The sequence below is a fragment of the Homo sapiens genome, chromosome 4, assembly GCF_000001405.40.
Source record: "Homo sapiens chromosome 4, GRCh38.p14 Primary Assembly".
Lineage (NCBI taxonomy): Eukaryota > Metazoa > Chordata > Mammalia > Primates > Hominidae > Homo > Homo sapiens.
Window position 1 is genome coordinate 108,953,935 of NC_000004.12, and position 16,837 is coordinate 108,970,771.

Below are 16,837 nucleotides of genomic sequence, written 5' to 3' on the forward strand. Positions count from 1 at the left end.
TTAGCATTTGAGGAAAGGGTTACTGGTTCTGTATCAATTACACATTGTAATTCAGAACACTGATTCTTAAATCATAAAAATGTCAAAATATGATTGTTATACACTATCTCTAGCAGGAATAAGAACAGAAGAAAGTATAATTCCTTTTCGAAAAGGACGTAGCTACTTCCCATAGTGATTAATTCATTTGGGAGGAGTCCCATGATTTGCTGTTAATGAAAGAGGCTGTTGTAATCTACATGAGAATTATGGTTTCTCTGGGAATGTCAAAACCGAATTTCCTGACTTCTGTGAAATTAAATCTAAACTTTAGAATGATATAAATATTGAAAAATCATAAAATAAACTTTCTACTTTTTGGTTTTAATTTCCTAGTTGTGGTTGATAATGTTGTTATTTAACGAAATGCAGTACATTTTTTATATTAAATAGTGTATCACATGCTATCATGTTTATTATATTTAATTCTTAAAAGTGATATTTATTCGCACATATAATTTACTCGAAATAACTACACTGATAATATTCATATTTAACCTCAAAAGTCTTTTATACTTCCAAATCTCAAGTACTTTTATGCTTCCAAATTTAGATAATAATAAGGCAGACAAAAATGTCAAGAGTAAAGATTAGATTGTCTTCGTTACTGAAAATGAGGGCTCAAAATATGCCTTAGGTGCAATTTTGAATAGGAACAATTCTTTCTTTATTTAAATGTACTTAATATTCCATTTATCAAAGAAAATTGTCCATATATAATAGAAAAAAAAGATTTTCTCTTTTTATGGTTACATGAATTAATTCAAAGTGTAACATGGTCTTTCAACTTAGTAAATTTTAAATGATATATATGCATTATTTGCTGTTAAATAAAAGAGAAAAAAAGGGAATGACAATGCTCTGGGTTTGAAACCATAACTAATCAAGACCAAGGAAAAAACTTTCTCTGATATCTTAAAATATCTAAAAGCAATAGCCCAATTTACAAACTACAGATGTATGTTATAAATCTTTTTTTTTTTAAAATGGGTCTTCGATTTCAGTACCCATAGCAACAAAGTTTATGTTTTAAAAACCAGGTGGCATCTGGGATACCGAGATAAGTGACCAGTTCTACCACCTCATTAACTACAAGTTTTATGACTCACATATGTGGTTAAAAAATTACAAGGTGTATGTCTGTCATGTCATTATTAAAATTGAATTGCTTATTTTCACATAAGGGACTGTCAATCATTCTACCTGGGTGATACGGGATTTTAGCAAGTAAGACACATTAAAGAGAGTAAGAAGTTACTATTTTATAGCTCTGGGATGAAGCTTCATAACATTATAAAGAGTTGAGATTAAGCTTCATAAACTTTAATTGTTCAATTGTCCATGTTTCTTGACTTGTGAAATGTTGGGGAAGTTAATGTTGGAAAAGTGGCACAAAACGAATTTGACTAAGAAAAAAAAAGATTTTTCAAGGGAAATGTGAGTCAACTTTTGTACAAGGCGTAATTATCCAATTTGTGAATTACTAAGGGCCTAATAATTCACAAATTGCAGAGTGGACTTCCCTTCCCCTCTCCTATTCTTTGTAGGATTTCCTTCTTTATGAATATCTTGATTACAAATAAGGAAGGAAATAAAAAAGGAAGTGAAAGTCAATCCAAGGATTAACACAGAAGAGTAGCATGGAACATTATGATCTGTGTCAGGAGCACTTGGGCTCCATGAAGACTGGGAGGAATTTCTAAGGGCAACAAAAAGAGTATATTCCGTTAGATTCAGACACAGAAGCATAATAAAATAATAGATCTATTTTTTCAGTCAACTGACAATAAATGTGAATAGTTGATAGAAGAAAGCAGTAGCAACCAGTTCCTATTTAGCTTCTAATTCTCTGTCAAACAGAAAAAAAATATAGTTGTTTGAATTAAACATTGCCACAAATACTGGTGTATTAAATGCCAAGAAAAGTGAAGAGATTACTAATGAAAACTTTGCAAATATAAATGTGTTTTAGCCAAATAAACAGCTTTCAAAATACTGAGCATTTGCCAAAAAAAAATTATTCAACCATTCGTATCATTTTTTTGGGAACTGTGAAAAGTGCAAGAAGAAATAGAAGAGAGAAAAAGGTAGCTCTGTGAAGTATATACAGATTGCTAAAATTTGTATTGACCTAAGTTAAGATGAGAATATATTATTAAAAGGATTGTTGGTGAAAATTTATAACAGAATACTAATTTTATTTAGTTTTTTAAAAGGGTTATTAGTAGGTGGATGCACTTATGTAACTGGATTTCAGCAAGTGGTATGCCGAGGTTTCTTATATTATCCTTAGATTGTATATTGAGAAATCTGAACTGAAAATCAATGACAAGAATGGATTTATAACTGGTTGAACAATCTACACAGATAATAATACTTAACCAGTCACACAGTTCAGGACCTCAGGACTGATCCGTTTAATACATGTTATTTTTGTTTGTTTGTTTTTGAGACAGAATTTTGCTCTTACCTCCCAGACTGGAGTGCAATGGCGCAATCTTTGCTCACTGCAAACTCCACCTCCCAGGTTCAAGTGATTCTCCTGCCTCAGCCTCCCGAGTAGCTGGGATTACAGGTGCGTGCCACGGCACCCAGCTAATTTTTGTATTTTTAGTAGAGACGGGGTTTCACCATGTTGGCCAGACTGGTCTCGAACTCCTGACCTCAGGTGATCCACCTGCTTTGGCCTCCCAAAGTGCTGGGATTACAGGCATGAGCCACCACACCCAGCCTCAATATATGTATTAATGAAACAGTCCTCTCAAACTTTGGGTGTGGGAATGATTTTTGTCTCTACATGAATGTCTGTTTCTACATCTATATCTCAAATCTCCAGGAAATGGGAAAGAGGAAGAAATGTAATGTTTGTTGGATTGCAGAATCAGAATCCAGAGGGGACCTCAACAGGATGGAATGATGAGAGTGGTATACTAACATGGAATAAAAGAAAGTAACGGTGTGTGAATCCAATAAACAAGTTACATAAATACACAATTGAGGAGCTAATAGTAACAGTAAAAAAAATTTTAGAATTTAAGTCAGTAAATTTATACATTAATATATGATATGGCTGCCAATGTTATTTCAAGCTCATCTAATTCCAGACTGTATTAACATAAACAGACACATACACAGGTAGGTTTTATCCCAAACACATTTATCCAGGCCCACCTGGATAAATGTGTTTGCTTTCTATACATTATCCTTTAAGGAGGACATAGAAGCATGAATACAGAACCAGGACGGTAAGAGGGGAAAAACTGTTCACATGAGGACTGGATGAAGAAGATGGGCTTGGAGCAGGAGAAGATGAGATGGGACGTGAGAGGTATTTTAAACAGGCTGAAAACTGAAGGGAGAGCACAGAGCAGAACCACCACCACCACCACATGGTGTATTCAGTTTAGGCTGGGCCATCACTGTCAAAGAATGTAACCAGTAATGGAAGAGCTTTAAGGTTCATTTCACCCATGAGCTTCAGTGTTTCTATAAACCACTGAAGGATAGTCATGTGGAAGAATAATTAGTTCAGAAGACAGGACTGAAACTAAATGTATAGGAAGTAGAAAACGGTAGATGTTGATTCAAAAGAAGGAACAATAAATATTTGTTGAATGAATGATTGAATTATTTTGTAATCTTAGAACTGTCTATGATTAGAATAGTCTGCTTTTTAAAAGAGTGAGTTCCTTGTTACTGAAAATGTTTGAATAAAACTCAGCCTAGGACACCCCGTAGAAGTTTTTAGGTAATTAGCTGGCAGGGCCGATTGTCTAAATGGGTGAAGTGGGTTTGTTTTGCAGTTATAAGAAAAGGTTTGATGAGGCAGCAAGTGAATTTCTCTCATCCATATTATCTTCCCCCTCATCACTCTTTTAAAATAGGACAACTAACGTTTATCTAGAAAGCCTTTCTGGCACTGTCAAACCATTTTTAATTCTAATAAAAAGCAAAATGTGACCTCTTATATTACCCAATAGTTTAAAACACTATAAGAAAAAAAATTCAGATGCATTCAACTCTTTCCCATAAAAGGAAATATAATCTACCATATAGGATTCTATTTATGTTGTCTTTTTTATTTTTTAACTTTTGGACGATCTCATTAAATTCTATATTTATTGCACTCAGATAAATTAACTTTCAATTTATTTTTATATCAAGGTGGACACAAACAAAAAAAAATCAAATAATACTGACCCAAATCAGTTCTTCCTCTTAAGATTTGTCAATACAACCATAAGGGGTAACTCCAAACAATTCATGATCTTGTTCCTCTTTGGTGCCTCAACAGGGCAATTTTGTTAGAAATATTTATAAGGGAAAATGTTCCATTAACCCAACTGCACAAAGAAAACCCAGAAAATATATATAATAACTTAAAACATGGGTGTTTCTAGAAGTATACGGACTAGTATTATAAATGAAATTATTTGGGTCCAACAATGAAAACATATGCAACTAAATATGATATGATTCTAAATATCTATGAACTTTGGCAATGACCTATATAAGATATCTAAGCTAGATCATCTTAGGTAATAAACCAACATTTTTTTAAAAAAAACCTCTAGGAAATTCTGAAATTTAGAGTCCCATTTTTCCTTAAAGGAGTGACTCTGAAATTCTCCCCCTCAAAGTCTCCTATGTTTCTAATTTTAAACATATGCAATTAAAAGACTAAAATTCATCTTTTTAACATTATTTACATGTTACTTAACGATGGTTATTCTATCTACAACTGTGCTAACTTTCTAAAAATTCTGTTATTCTATAATTTATATTTTAAACAAAAAAATCTTGAAGATAACATAAATTCTGTTGGAATCTTGATGTAAAACTACCAAGTTTAAACTATACTAATTTTAATCTTTGAGCAGACTGGTATACTAATAAAAATTCTACACTACCACAGACTGAAAACCACAAGTATAAAAATAATTCGATAAATTTTAAAATAAACAGTATGTAATTATGTTAAAGGCACTATTATAGCCTTTTTTTCTAGAAAGTAAATGATTCATAATTGTTTTGTGATCTATGTGTTTGTATATTTTGATGGACTCTGTCATCATAACATCAAAAGCAAAATCATCTTAATATCTAATCCAGGTATTGCAAACTCCAATGCCAACAGAAACTGCATGCATATTTAAGTAAATGGAACAGGTTGGGTGTCACTGGGGATAATCCAAAATGCATGTCCTACCTAAAGCAGACAGACTCCATTCACCTTCAGCCAACCTTCCTTATAAAGGAAGGTAAACTCAATGGTGCCAGCTTTTTAAATTTCTCAAGAGAAATTTTTAAATAAGATTTATATGAAATTGCCCAATATTAGCAACTAATCTGGGAAAGAAAAATGAAATGTATCTACTACCAAAATCTGGTTCACAGGTTACCAGTTTGCAGCCTCTAATCTGCTCCTTTGTGAATTACTAATTTAAAATATAGAAGGAAGATTGCACCAAATAGTGAACACATTCCAGTAATAGGAAAAAATAAAGACATTGAATTCCTTTTCCCCACTACAACCAAAGGTGTCAGACCCTGCCCTAAAAAGAAATTCCATATAAGTTGTGACAGTTTCTCAAACTACAACCCTGTTGGCACATGCCATTACATTTGACACATTCTAAAAATCTTGACTTATTGTAACAGTTATAATATACAATTCTGGGTAGATACAATGACTCAAACTTTGCATTCTTCTCTGACACATTTTATTAGAAGTACATGGCTCCAAAGTGGAAGTAATACCACAGACCAGTATAGAGTTACAGCACTAACATTCAACATTGTACTGGTGACATAGCAAGCTTTCTCCAATTCAATTTTGTTTGACTTTTCTGCCTAAAAATGTAAAATGAAGGGTGAAGTTGTAAATCTCTACATTAGCTTTCTGAACAAATCCAAAAAGTCTAATAGATCTCCAGATATTCCCCTCTTCCTGAAACTCCTCAAAATTCATTTCCTTTTATAAAATTTTTGAATAATTGCAAATGACTACTAAAGAAAAGGCTGCAAGACTGAAAAGTGATTTTGTACTGAACTTATTTAAAAAGGCAGCAAAAATAGAATGGCTTCATAATGTTGTATTCTAGAGTTTCCTAATATAGAAGATCCTTCAGAAAATTCACTTTGTCAACATAGAAATAATGTGTTTATCTATGCCAGAAAATGAAATAATGTGTGTAGTGGGGTAAAGCTCTTAACACAAACAGTAGTTATCCATTTGGCAGAGAAAGAAAAAGAGATTGTTCAGAGACAACATATTCCTTACTATTCTTTTCATCATCAAAATTATAGTGATTGTCAAATATATTACACATTTTTTAAAAAACGAAGATATACCACCAAAGAAATGTAAAACATTAATAAAAATGGTTAAATTGTAGCTAGTGGCTTTCTACCATATCATGCCTATAAGCCATGTTACCAAAGACAAAATACAGTAATTTTTGGTGTTCAAAACATGAGATAAAATTATGCCAGTGGTTTAAAATCTTTTCAATGCTATGTTCTCAAAGCACAGTTCAGTAGGATAAAAAATGAACTGAGGATAGGGAAGAATCAAGGCTGAAAAATTACAAAGTGCTGCTATAACTTCTGTTAAATTCAAGGACTACGTTAGAGCCCCCTTTGTATCTAGAAGTTTACATTCCTAAAAGGAAGCTTTGGTGCTGGCATTCTAGAACCATCTTCTTCAACCACTACGAAATAGAAAGAAAAGATATATCTAAGAAAAGTCATCTGTCTCTTGAATTAGTCTCCAAGTTTTCTCTAAGATCGAAGTCAAGGTAAATATTTGCTTTTCAAGATTATCTTGAAAACGTGTGTGGACTCTATTTGGAAGTCAGAGCCAGTCTTTGATGCGATCATCAAGAACTTCCACTGTGCTTGCTTCCATCTCACTTTGCAAAGAAATATTAAGAATGATTTCCTTGCATGTTAAGGTATGCAAGGTAGCACTAAATTATTGTTAATTTACATTCTCTTTAATCCTGAAATGCTACACTGAATAGAAAAATACTTTTTAAAAAACAATTAATTAGAAGATGAGGAGCTTAACAATTTTTGTGCAAAAAGCTAAGGAAGATATATCAAGTTAATCTAAAAAGCTTCATAGATTGCTTTGAACATTCACCTATCTTTTCTTAACAGGAATCAGAGTATAAACAAGAATAGGTTCACATTTGTGCATGTTTAGATCTTGCATATGTGGAGAATCTGTATTTATGGACAACTCTGCTTCATAAAGACATTATTGGTGAGTGTAATTATGAGTAAGTATTCACACACAGAGATGTGTATATAAAATATACCTAGAGATAGACTAATTCCTATCAGTGAGAACTGAAATACGTTCACACACTAGCATATGGAATGAGATACAGTACAATATTTTAAACAACTGGCTATAAAAGGCAAGTGTTTGATAATTCTTAATATAAGAAGTAATTCATAAATCTTGCAAAAGGCAATCCAAAACGTATTATTTTGATTGTCTTTTGCAAGATTTGCCACTTAGTTTTCAGTCGCATATGATGACAGCATATGCAACTTCAAACTAAGGCACATCTCAGAAGGTTCTCCTGTTCTGTTCTGTTCTGTTCTGTTCTGTTCTGTTCTGTTCTGTTCTGTTCTGTTCTGTTGTTGTGTTGTGCTGTGTTGTGTTGTGTTTGGGCATCACTCCCTCAGTCACTTCCTTCATTCTGTACTTCCTACCTCACCAGTGGAAGAATTTCCCTTTAGCAGTCCCGGAAATATAACAAAGTGATGGCTTCCTTTCAATGATGACAAGGTCAAGATTTTGGCAAGAAATTTCAAGATTGGGCCACAATTTTAATAGTCTAGCTAAGTAAATTAAGTCAGCCTCTAAAAATAATAAGCCTGATGAAAGGCCAAAGTAATAAAAATATGTTTGAAAACAACTGAATGTATTCTTAATTAAAAATTTGATTGTATCTCCCTTAGATTTTTCTTCCCCTGCCAATAAACAGAATATTCAGGCTGACATGTTCTTTTGAAGACATCGCAAATGAGACAGGAATTACCACCTGTTGTTCTCTTGTCCTTCCTAATGTTACAGTTAGTTCCTGCCATTTCCCGTTGCATCCCACAGGCTTCAAGCCAGGACAGCACTCTCACTCTGCCATGGCAATTTCTCTCTCTCTTTTTGTTTTCCACCACCATTTCTCTACCTCGATTCTTTTTTTTTCTTTTTTTTTTGAGACGGAGTCTCGCTCTGTCACCCAGGATGGAGTGCAGTGGCAGGATCTCGACTCACTGCAACCTCCACCTCCCGGGTTCAAGCGATTCTCCTGCCTCAGCCTCCCAAGTAGCTGGGACTATAGGCGCTACGACCAGCCAGTTTTTGTATTTTCAGTAGAGACAGTGTTTCACCACGTTGGCTAGGATGGTCTTGATCTCCTGACCTCATGATCCACCCGCCTCGGCCTCCCAAAATGCTGGGATTACAGGTGTGAGCCACTGCACCCGGCCCTTAATTCTTAATTATAAGGAATTACTTTAGGCCTGAAGCTGACTAAAATACCTGTACTGAAAAGAGTATCCTATGTAACCAGTTCTTTGATGGTTTGGAATGCTACACTGGAGGTTTTTGATACTACCTTTCCATCACTGACTCTTGTCAACCAGATTCGTGCTAAATTCACAAGCTTATAAAGCATGATAAGAATGCCCGGAAGTTCTTGGTACGTGGAACTGTAAAACCAACAGTATTGTTATTATTATTATTATTACTATTGTCTATGTTTGTGTTAAATAATTCATTTGTGCTAATAAAACCCACTAGTGATCAATAAAGGTTTCTCTCAATATCAACATTTTTCAAGCAAAGTTTAACTGGCTTCTAAGAGATGAAAAGCAAACCTTCCTCACTCCCCCAAAGTCACTGTAGAATTACATTTGAAGTAGGGCCTTGCAACTGACATCCTTTTCCTACAAAGCCAGTCTTGTTTGCCAATTGTGATTTACAGGCTGTGTCTGCTACAGGGGGCTGCTGGACACATTAGTGCAGGTATGCTTATGAAAGGATGCTGCTGTCTGGCATTAAATGACTTTCCAGAGACCCATCTTGTTCAGACCTACAGGAACTGTTCTCCCTGAACATCATCTGTCAATGCATAAGCCATTATTCCACCCATTCTGAAGGGAAGAATCAAAAATATAATCCTGCCCTCCAGTCCCTTCTGTAAATCGTGATGCACCATTAAAATCTGCTGTTTTATGCTTTCTTGACTTCTATTTGGTTAATTCACTTCAAATATTTCCAGTTGCAACTATAATTCTATATTAGGGAGTGATACAAAAATAATGGTGGTAATAATGTTCAATTTTGTTAGTGTAAATTGTTTATAAATTGCTGTATTTTCTATCCACAATATGTTCATTATTCATGGGTATTACCAGCTAAAGTATAAATTGGATTTTTTTTGTCCATTTCAAATACAGGTTTTAGTATATTTACTAAAAGCCTTACATTCTCTATATAATATTGAAAGTCATCAACCCCAAATCGACCTTCACATTTTAGCATATGCTTCCATTGTAGGCGTTAGTGCAACTCATGGCTCTACATTACATGAATTAATAAATCTAAAAATCTTATATTTGGATTCAAGTAAAAAAGCTTGCTTAAATATAAGACAAAGAATAAAACCTTCCGTATAGTTTCATGTTTGAGAGAGGATTATTAATATATTACTTATCAAGGAAGTCTTTAAATTATGTAACCAATATTTTATAAAAAGCAGCACTTGTAAAAATCCCAACAAAAGAAATATAAATGGAATAATATTAAATATATACATATACAAATATATTCTCTTTCGATTAAAATATGTCATTCTACTTAATTTCAAGAAAAATGTGAAATAGTGCCCCTAAGCCTGAAAAGATAAGGCATACATCCAGGGATATATGTCACATGAAAAAGTAAGAATAATATTGCAGTTTACATGAACAATAAGCAGAAAAGTGTGGACAAATGAAATCTCTTTACTCCATAAAATGGAAATAATTATTTACATATCATATGTAAATAATATCATAATTAAATAATGTGAATAATTTAATTAAATAATGTGAATATTAAATTAAATTAATAAATTAATAAATAGTAAATAAGAAAATTAATTAAAATAAATAATGTAAATAATCAAATAATTATTTACATATGAAGGTCACTGTACTCAAAAGACAAAAAGGAAATCCAATCGTTATTTAAACTGGTTGGTATCATTTTCCAGGATTTCTTGTCAGAGGATGTGCTTAGGATTGGATTTTGGCTTTGGTTTTGATTTTAATATCTCTGTGGTCATTAATAGAATTTTCAGTTAAAGGCTCACATCTCAGGCATTTCACTACTATACTATTTTATATATATAAGCATTTTGCAAAATGTTCCTTCTTACTTTCATATATTTTGTATAAAAGTTTACTCAACTGAATTACTATATTTATTCAGTAGGGATAGATTTACTTACATAATCTTTTAAGGACATATATACAAGATTTAAAGTGACATAATATAGGTAGAGCCATTATTCCTCATCCTTTCCAAATCTCTTTTTTTCATATTTGATGAGCCCAGCCATTCAACCACTAACACTGAGATAAAATTTACAACACTGAATTCCAAGGAAATATTGTCAACACATCTACCATTGTTTGTAAAAAATAATTTATTTTCTAAATTGACCGATATTAGGACAAATTTACAAATATTCCTGGGTTCAATTCAATGCAACAACTTTTTAGTGGGTTGAAGTATGACACAGAACACTCTAAAGAGAATTCTGATTAGAAAATCCCTATGATAAGAACATGTGCAAATCTTAATGAGCTTACTGTTTCCATGCCAGCTTCTGAATCTGGAAAGTGTTAAAATAATTTTCTCATAATTTATTTCTTTCCATTGTGTTATATCCATTCCCTTTTCTCAGGCAATACATTCAGTACCCAATGAGTAGTATATTCATTAAGGCTACAGAGAAAGGCAAGGGTTAAACAAATAAGGACATCAAATTAATATCCAGGCCTAAATGTTTTAGCAGAGCCAAAAAATCTTTAATCATTCAAGTCAACAAAGGTTAAGATAATAAAATAAACTTCTAAATGCTTTCCTTTTCTGGAACTTAATCTGTCTTGCCAAAGATGTTTTTAAGATGCTATCAGTTTTGCATAGTCCCAGCTGTTATGAAAATTTACTCGAATACACTAGGAGGAGAAAGGAATTTTATGAAAATGTGAAGCAGAGCTTCTGGGTGGCTTATTGAAACTGTGAGAGCTTAGGACTCATTTAAAACCAGCTGTTGGCTGATGATGTCGAGACCAATAACCACTAAATCTCCTATTTATCAGGACTCTGTGTTATTTGGCAAGGTGATAGTAACCAACTGATTAGAAGATTAATATATAATCAAAAGATAACTTCATGACGTTTCTTCATTTTATTGCCTAAGTTTGATTAATAAATTTGCCACAATTTCAGAAAAACATAGTATTCCATTTTAAAAAGTCATTATTAAACATTACAACAGCTTTGCTTATTTTTAAGGCTATGTTTTTAAGTCACTAAGATAGAGAAAAGAAATATGAGCCATTATCATCAAAGCCCTGGGTGTCACTGTGATTCCAGGGCTATGGTTCATGATGAGGGCAGAGGCTCTTATGAACTGGGCAAACAAAAAGCCCTCTTTAATGATGAAGAGAGACAGCGGTAGCAGTAGTGGGTGTAGATGACAACGGGAGAAGCATTAAAAGTCTTGAGACTTTTACAGTTGACACTGAAGTTCTGTTACTGATAAAGAAATGAAGTTCATTTTTTTGCAAAGAGGGACTTAGAATAAAAGTGGAACAACAACATAGCTTATAGGTTATGCAAACTCAGCATTATGAAGAGCAGAAAACAAATTTCATCCATCTGGTTATCCTGAAGAAACAATTACTAATAGCAAGTATAAGCAAGATCTTGATATGCAATTTTCTTTTTAAAAAATTTTTAAGACTGGTGTGATAATATATACAATTTTCGAATAGGTGCTATTGAGTTGAGAAGTAAAATCTGTATTATAACAAGGTAATTGGGTGTTCTTACAATCCTTGGAGGGGGGCCAACATTGCCCTGCCTCTCTTTGCTCCATATAGTGAGTTCTAAGGTATTACTCAGTGACATACAGTTTCTAGGGTATTACTATGTGGTGATCATTCATTCACTTATGTTTTGGGGGGTATTACTATATGGCCATTCATCCATTCATATGTTTTCTGTTGGGTTGACAGTGTGTGGCCTGCATAAACTGAGTCTATCATAATTACAAAGAAAAAATATCCACCTATTTGTGCTTGTGTTCCCCAGCTTTTTCAGTCTTATTCACAGAGGCCTGGGATTTTCAAGTTGAAAGGGTTCCTAGCAGCAATCTGGAGGCAGCTTGATAGCAGGATTTGAAATTGGCGTTGAGTCCCAACACTGTCTTTTGGTAAATGTATGTGAAAGAACTTGAACAAGTCACTTAATCTGCTTGAGTTCAATCCTCATCAGAAAAATAAAAAATCATAATAAAGTTGGCCATGCGCAGTGGCTCGCACCTGTAATCCCAGCACTCAGGGTAGGCTGAGGTAGGCACATCACTTGAGTCCAGGAGTTCGAGGCCAGCCTGGGCAACATGATGAAACCCTGTCTCTACTAAAAATTAAAAAAAATAGCTGGGCATGGTAGTGTGTGCCTGTAGTCCCAGCTATTCGGGGGACTGAGGCAGGAGGATCACCTGAGCCTTGGGAGGTTGAGGCTGCAGTGAGCCGTGATTGTGGCACTGCATTCCAGCCTGGCAACAGAGTGAGACCCTGTCTTAAAAGAAAAGAAAGAAAAGAAAAGAAAAAAAGAAAAGGAAGGAAGGGAAGGGAAGGGAAAAAGGAAAGAGAGAAAAAGAGAGAAAGAAAGAGAGGAAAGAAAGAAAAAGAAAGAAAGAAAAAGAAAGAAAAGTTTTATTAATACGTGTTCTACTAACTTACAGCATTACTTTACAGGATAAATGAGAGAATACATGGAAAATGTAGTCTGTAAATACCTAGGTTCAAATTCTGGTTCTGCCAGTGAGTGATTATTATTTTGGACAAAATATTTAAATTTTCTAAGTCTTGGTTTCCTCATCCATTAAATGAGAATAATAAAAGTAAGTATTTCATAGGGTTGTTGAAATAAGGTGTGACATCATAGAGTGATTGGCGTATTTTAGGAACTCAATTAAAGTATCCTTATTGTTATTATTTCAAACACAGATATTTCTGTAACCCCTATCATTTCACATTAATGTTGATGACTTTATAACAACTACCTTATTGATAGGGAAGCAGTCTTGTTCACTGAAAACAGAACAAACTAGAAGCTGAGAAAGCCAGGTTTAAATCCCATTTCTACCACTTACAATTTATGTCAACTTGGGCAAGTTACTTTACCCCATATTCCTCATATGAAATATGGGAAGAAAAATCAGGTATGGTTTGTTGAGAGCTTATTACAGATTTTTTCATATACTACTTTATTAATCCTGATCATAATCATAGATAGTGGTAGTTAGAATTTGATCCCTGTCCAGCCTGACTTCAGCCCATGTGGATAATCATTTTACTCAACTGCATCCACTTTTCCCGTTTTCCTCCCTGATAATCTATCTCTCTGCACTATAGTAAGGCTTAGAGATGATGTATGCAACTTACCTAGAAAAGTATCCAGCAAGTTGTAAGACTAAGCTATAGGCAATTATAATTATTATGTGAGGTCTTATTTCCTAGTCCAACTTTCTTATTCAACCTAGGAATCCCCGACAACTTCCTTTCAGCAGGTTGTGTAATCTCTACTTAAATACAAGGTAAAGTCATAGCCTCAAAACTTTGCAATACAAAGCTATGAGGATGAAATAAAGAGAATCAATTATCTCTTTACGCCCGGATACTCTATGCGTGGTGACCGACAGCACAGATAAAGCACCATCCCAACCCTAAGCCTAAAGGCCTAATGAAATGCAGTGTTTGGAAGAATGAATTAAAGATTAGTGGCAAATCTGCAATGACATCTCCCCAGGAATCAAGGCGGGAAGTACAATTCTTATGTCAGGATGCATTCATTTGTGGAAATCTAACACTCAGTGCCTCGTAGAATAAAACCAAATGATATTTGTGGTTATTATATTACACCTAAAACTGTAGGCCTGAAATTGGTTCAATGTATACTGAAAGAAAGTTAATGCCGAAAAGTTAGCCCACTTTCTCCTGCATTAAATCATATGCCATCAACTGTATTCAAAGACGGTCAACTTTCCTACCATTACCTTTTAACTTCTTGCAATCTGACTTCCACTCTCACTACTTAACAAAAGATATTCCTTTAATAGCCCATGACTCCAAAACAGCAAATCCAAAGGCTTTTGAAAGACCTCATCCCTGAGGCTCTCTTTTTATTCAGAATATTATATTGGCCACTCTTTTTTTTTTTTTTAAGTAGTTTTGTGTGTGGTGTTCACACAATGCAGTGTCCTGCTTCTACCTTCAAATGCTCTCCTTTTGCTGACACTCCTTCCTTCCTCATCCCACTCCGTAAGTGTGAGTATTTTTAAAGACTCTATTCTAGGGCAGTACTCTTCTTACTCTTTTGCCTACCATGTTTCTAATTCCAGGATTTCAATTCTCCCTCTGTGATAGTTCAGCTGTGTAACAGTTACCTCCAGTTATGGCACTGCCTCAGAATTCTAGTCTCATGTTTCTGTTTGTTACACTATTCCAATGAAATATCTCATCAAGATCACGAATTCAACATAATTAAAATCCATCTTCTCACTTATCCTCCCAACTTTCTTCTGACCTATTTTATCAAGCATCAAGCCAGAAACTTTAGCCCTATCTTTGTCTTCTTTTTCAACTTCATCCCCTACATCCAACTGGCTTCAAGACTGGTCTTGAATTTTCACCTCAGCGTCTTTCCATTTCACTTCCTGACTGCTTTTTAAAAAAACTTTAACCTGACTACAACTCCAGGGTCACAGGTCCTCAGTGTCAGCTGAATAGGGACACTTGTTCAAGTGTCCTCAAGACTCCTCCCTCACCAAATGCTCCTCTATCAGTGTCAGCCCTGATTTCCCTCTTTGTCTACTCAGGTGTTTGCTTGGCACTTGGGGTAAACCTTATTGATTGGATGACCTAAGTTCCCTTTCAGCCCTATTCCCCTTGTCCCTTCCAGCTTTTGGATGACTGTGTGACACAACCTAGCCAATGAGACATGACCAGAAGTCTACTAAGAAGTTCATAGGGAAAATGTTGCTTTCTTGATTCAGACTCTTTCCTCTCTATCCTTCCTGCTGATATACGCCTAGATGCAATGGTTGGACTTGAAGCAGGCTTCCTGCAATCATGAGACAAGGCCAAGAGATTCACAGACTTAGTAACATCATTGAATCAACAGTAACACCATTTAATTATATACATAACACTATCAACTGCCTTCTCCAAACTTCTTTTTATGTGAGAATAATAAACTCATATCCTAGCTTTCATGGTGAAATTGGAGCTTTTGTCCGTATTTTGGTGACCACTTTGGAATCTCTTTCTTGGTTCATCAACTTACCACCTCCCACTCCACCTCTCTCCCTAACCCCCGCTGAAATTCTACTCTGACACTGACCTTTCTACTCAGTATGTGTCCTTGCCTCCAATGATACCTGATGTTCCATGCTAAGTCAGCTCATCCGTTCTGCTTACCTCTCCACTGAGGACTGGACATTGTCTGTACAGCCTAGATTCTTATGACTTTGTCCTAAATGAGTGACATAGTTTCCTGGTCTACTTGGTCACCCTGCTTTCAGTCTCTTCCAATTGTATTCTATAGCAGATGCTACCACCAAATATATATATATAAAATAATTGTTTTGAGCCCAAGTCTCACTCTGTTGCCCAGGCTGGAGTGCAATCATGCTATCTTGGCTCACTGCAACCTCCACCTACCAGGTTCAAGTGATTCTCCTGCCTCAGCCTCCCAAGTAGCTGGGATTACAGGCACTCGCCACCACGCCTGGCTACTCTTTGTATTTTTAGTAGAGATGGGGTTTCACTATGATGGCCAGGCTGGTCTCGAACTCCTGATGTCAGGTGATCTGCCTACCTCAGCCTCCCAAAGTGCTGTGATTACAGTGGTGAGCCACTGCATCTGGCCTCTAAAATATTTTTATAAAGAACATTTGGTAATAAGCACAGATAGTCTCAAAATAAGATAAGCACAGATTACTCAAAATTCTCAATGGCTCTCTAATGCCTACCACGCTAGACATTCAAAATGCTCCATAATATAACTTCAATCCAAAATTTTCCATCTATATGACACAATATTTTACTTAACCTACTTATTGGCAAATGGAATATTATTTTTTAGGGTCCTTTTTAAAACTTACTTTTAATTGACAAATACAAATTATATATATACTGTTACATATGTTGTTTTGAAATATGTATACATCATGCGATGGCTATATCAGGCTAATTAACATTTGTATTACCTCACATCCTTATCTTTTTTGGTGAGAACACAATGTACTCTCAGCAATTTTCAAGAATACAATATATTGTTATTAACTGTGGTCACGTTGCTGTACAGTAGATCTGTTGAACTTATTCCTCTTATCTAACTGAAAGTTTGTATCCTTTGACCAACATCTCCTAAAACCCTCCCCACCAGCCATGGGTCACCACCATTAAATGCTCTACTTCTATGTATTCAACTTCTAAA

General features: G+C 34.7%; 1 protein-coding gene across 11 annotated transcripts in view, besides 1 other annotated feature; it reads right to left on the reverse strand.

Annotated features, from left to right (window-relative positions):
- The window catches only part of COL25A1 (collagen type XXV alpha 1 chain), a 493,934-nt gene that overhangs the window by 145,210 nt on the left and 331,887 nt on the right, over positions 1 to 16,837 (reverse strand). Inside the window, exons 1-3 of one of the 11 annotated variants that reach the window (XM_011532358.2) lie at positions 12,655 to 12,671; positions 12,402 to 12,535; positions 10,915 to 11,050 (exon numbers count right to left, since the gene is read on the reverse strand). The exons of the other annotated variants lie outside the window; for them this stretch is intronic. Coding sequence (XP_011530660.1) covers positions 10,915 to 10,923 — 9 coding nt within the window. The 5' untranslated portion in view covers positions 10,924 to 11,050; positions 12,402 to 12,535; positions 12,655 to 12,671. Of the gene's footprint in view, positions 1 to 10,914; positions 11,051 to 12,401; positions 12,536 to 12,654; positions 12,672 to 16,837 lie in introns of those variants that run through there. 11 annotated transcript variants of the gene reach the window in all.
- Positions 16,288 to 16,457: an enhancer, noted in NCBI's record as "experimental_71593 CRE fragment used in MPRA reporter constructs". NCBI's record gives its function as "activates a minimal promoter by MPRAs in K562 erythroleukemia cells, with activity observed for the introgressed 4:109891463 variant allele {active_cell/tissue: K562}" and the evidence as "EXISTENCE:reporter gene assay evidence [ECO:0000049][PMID:34662402]".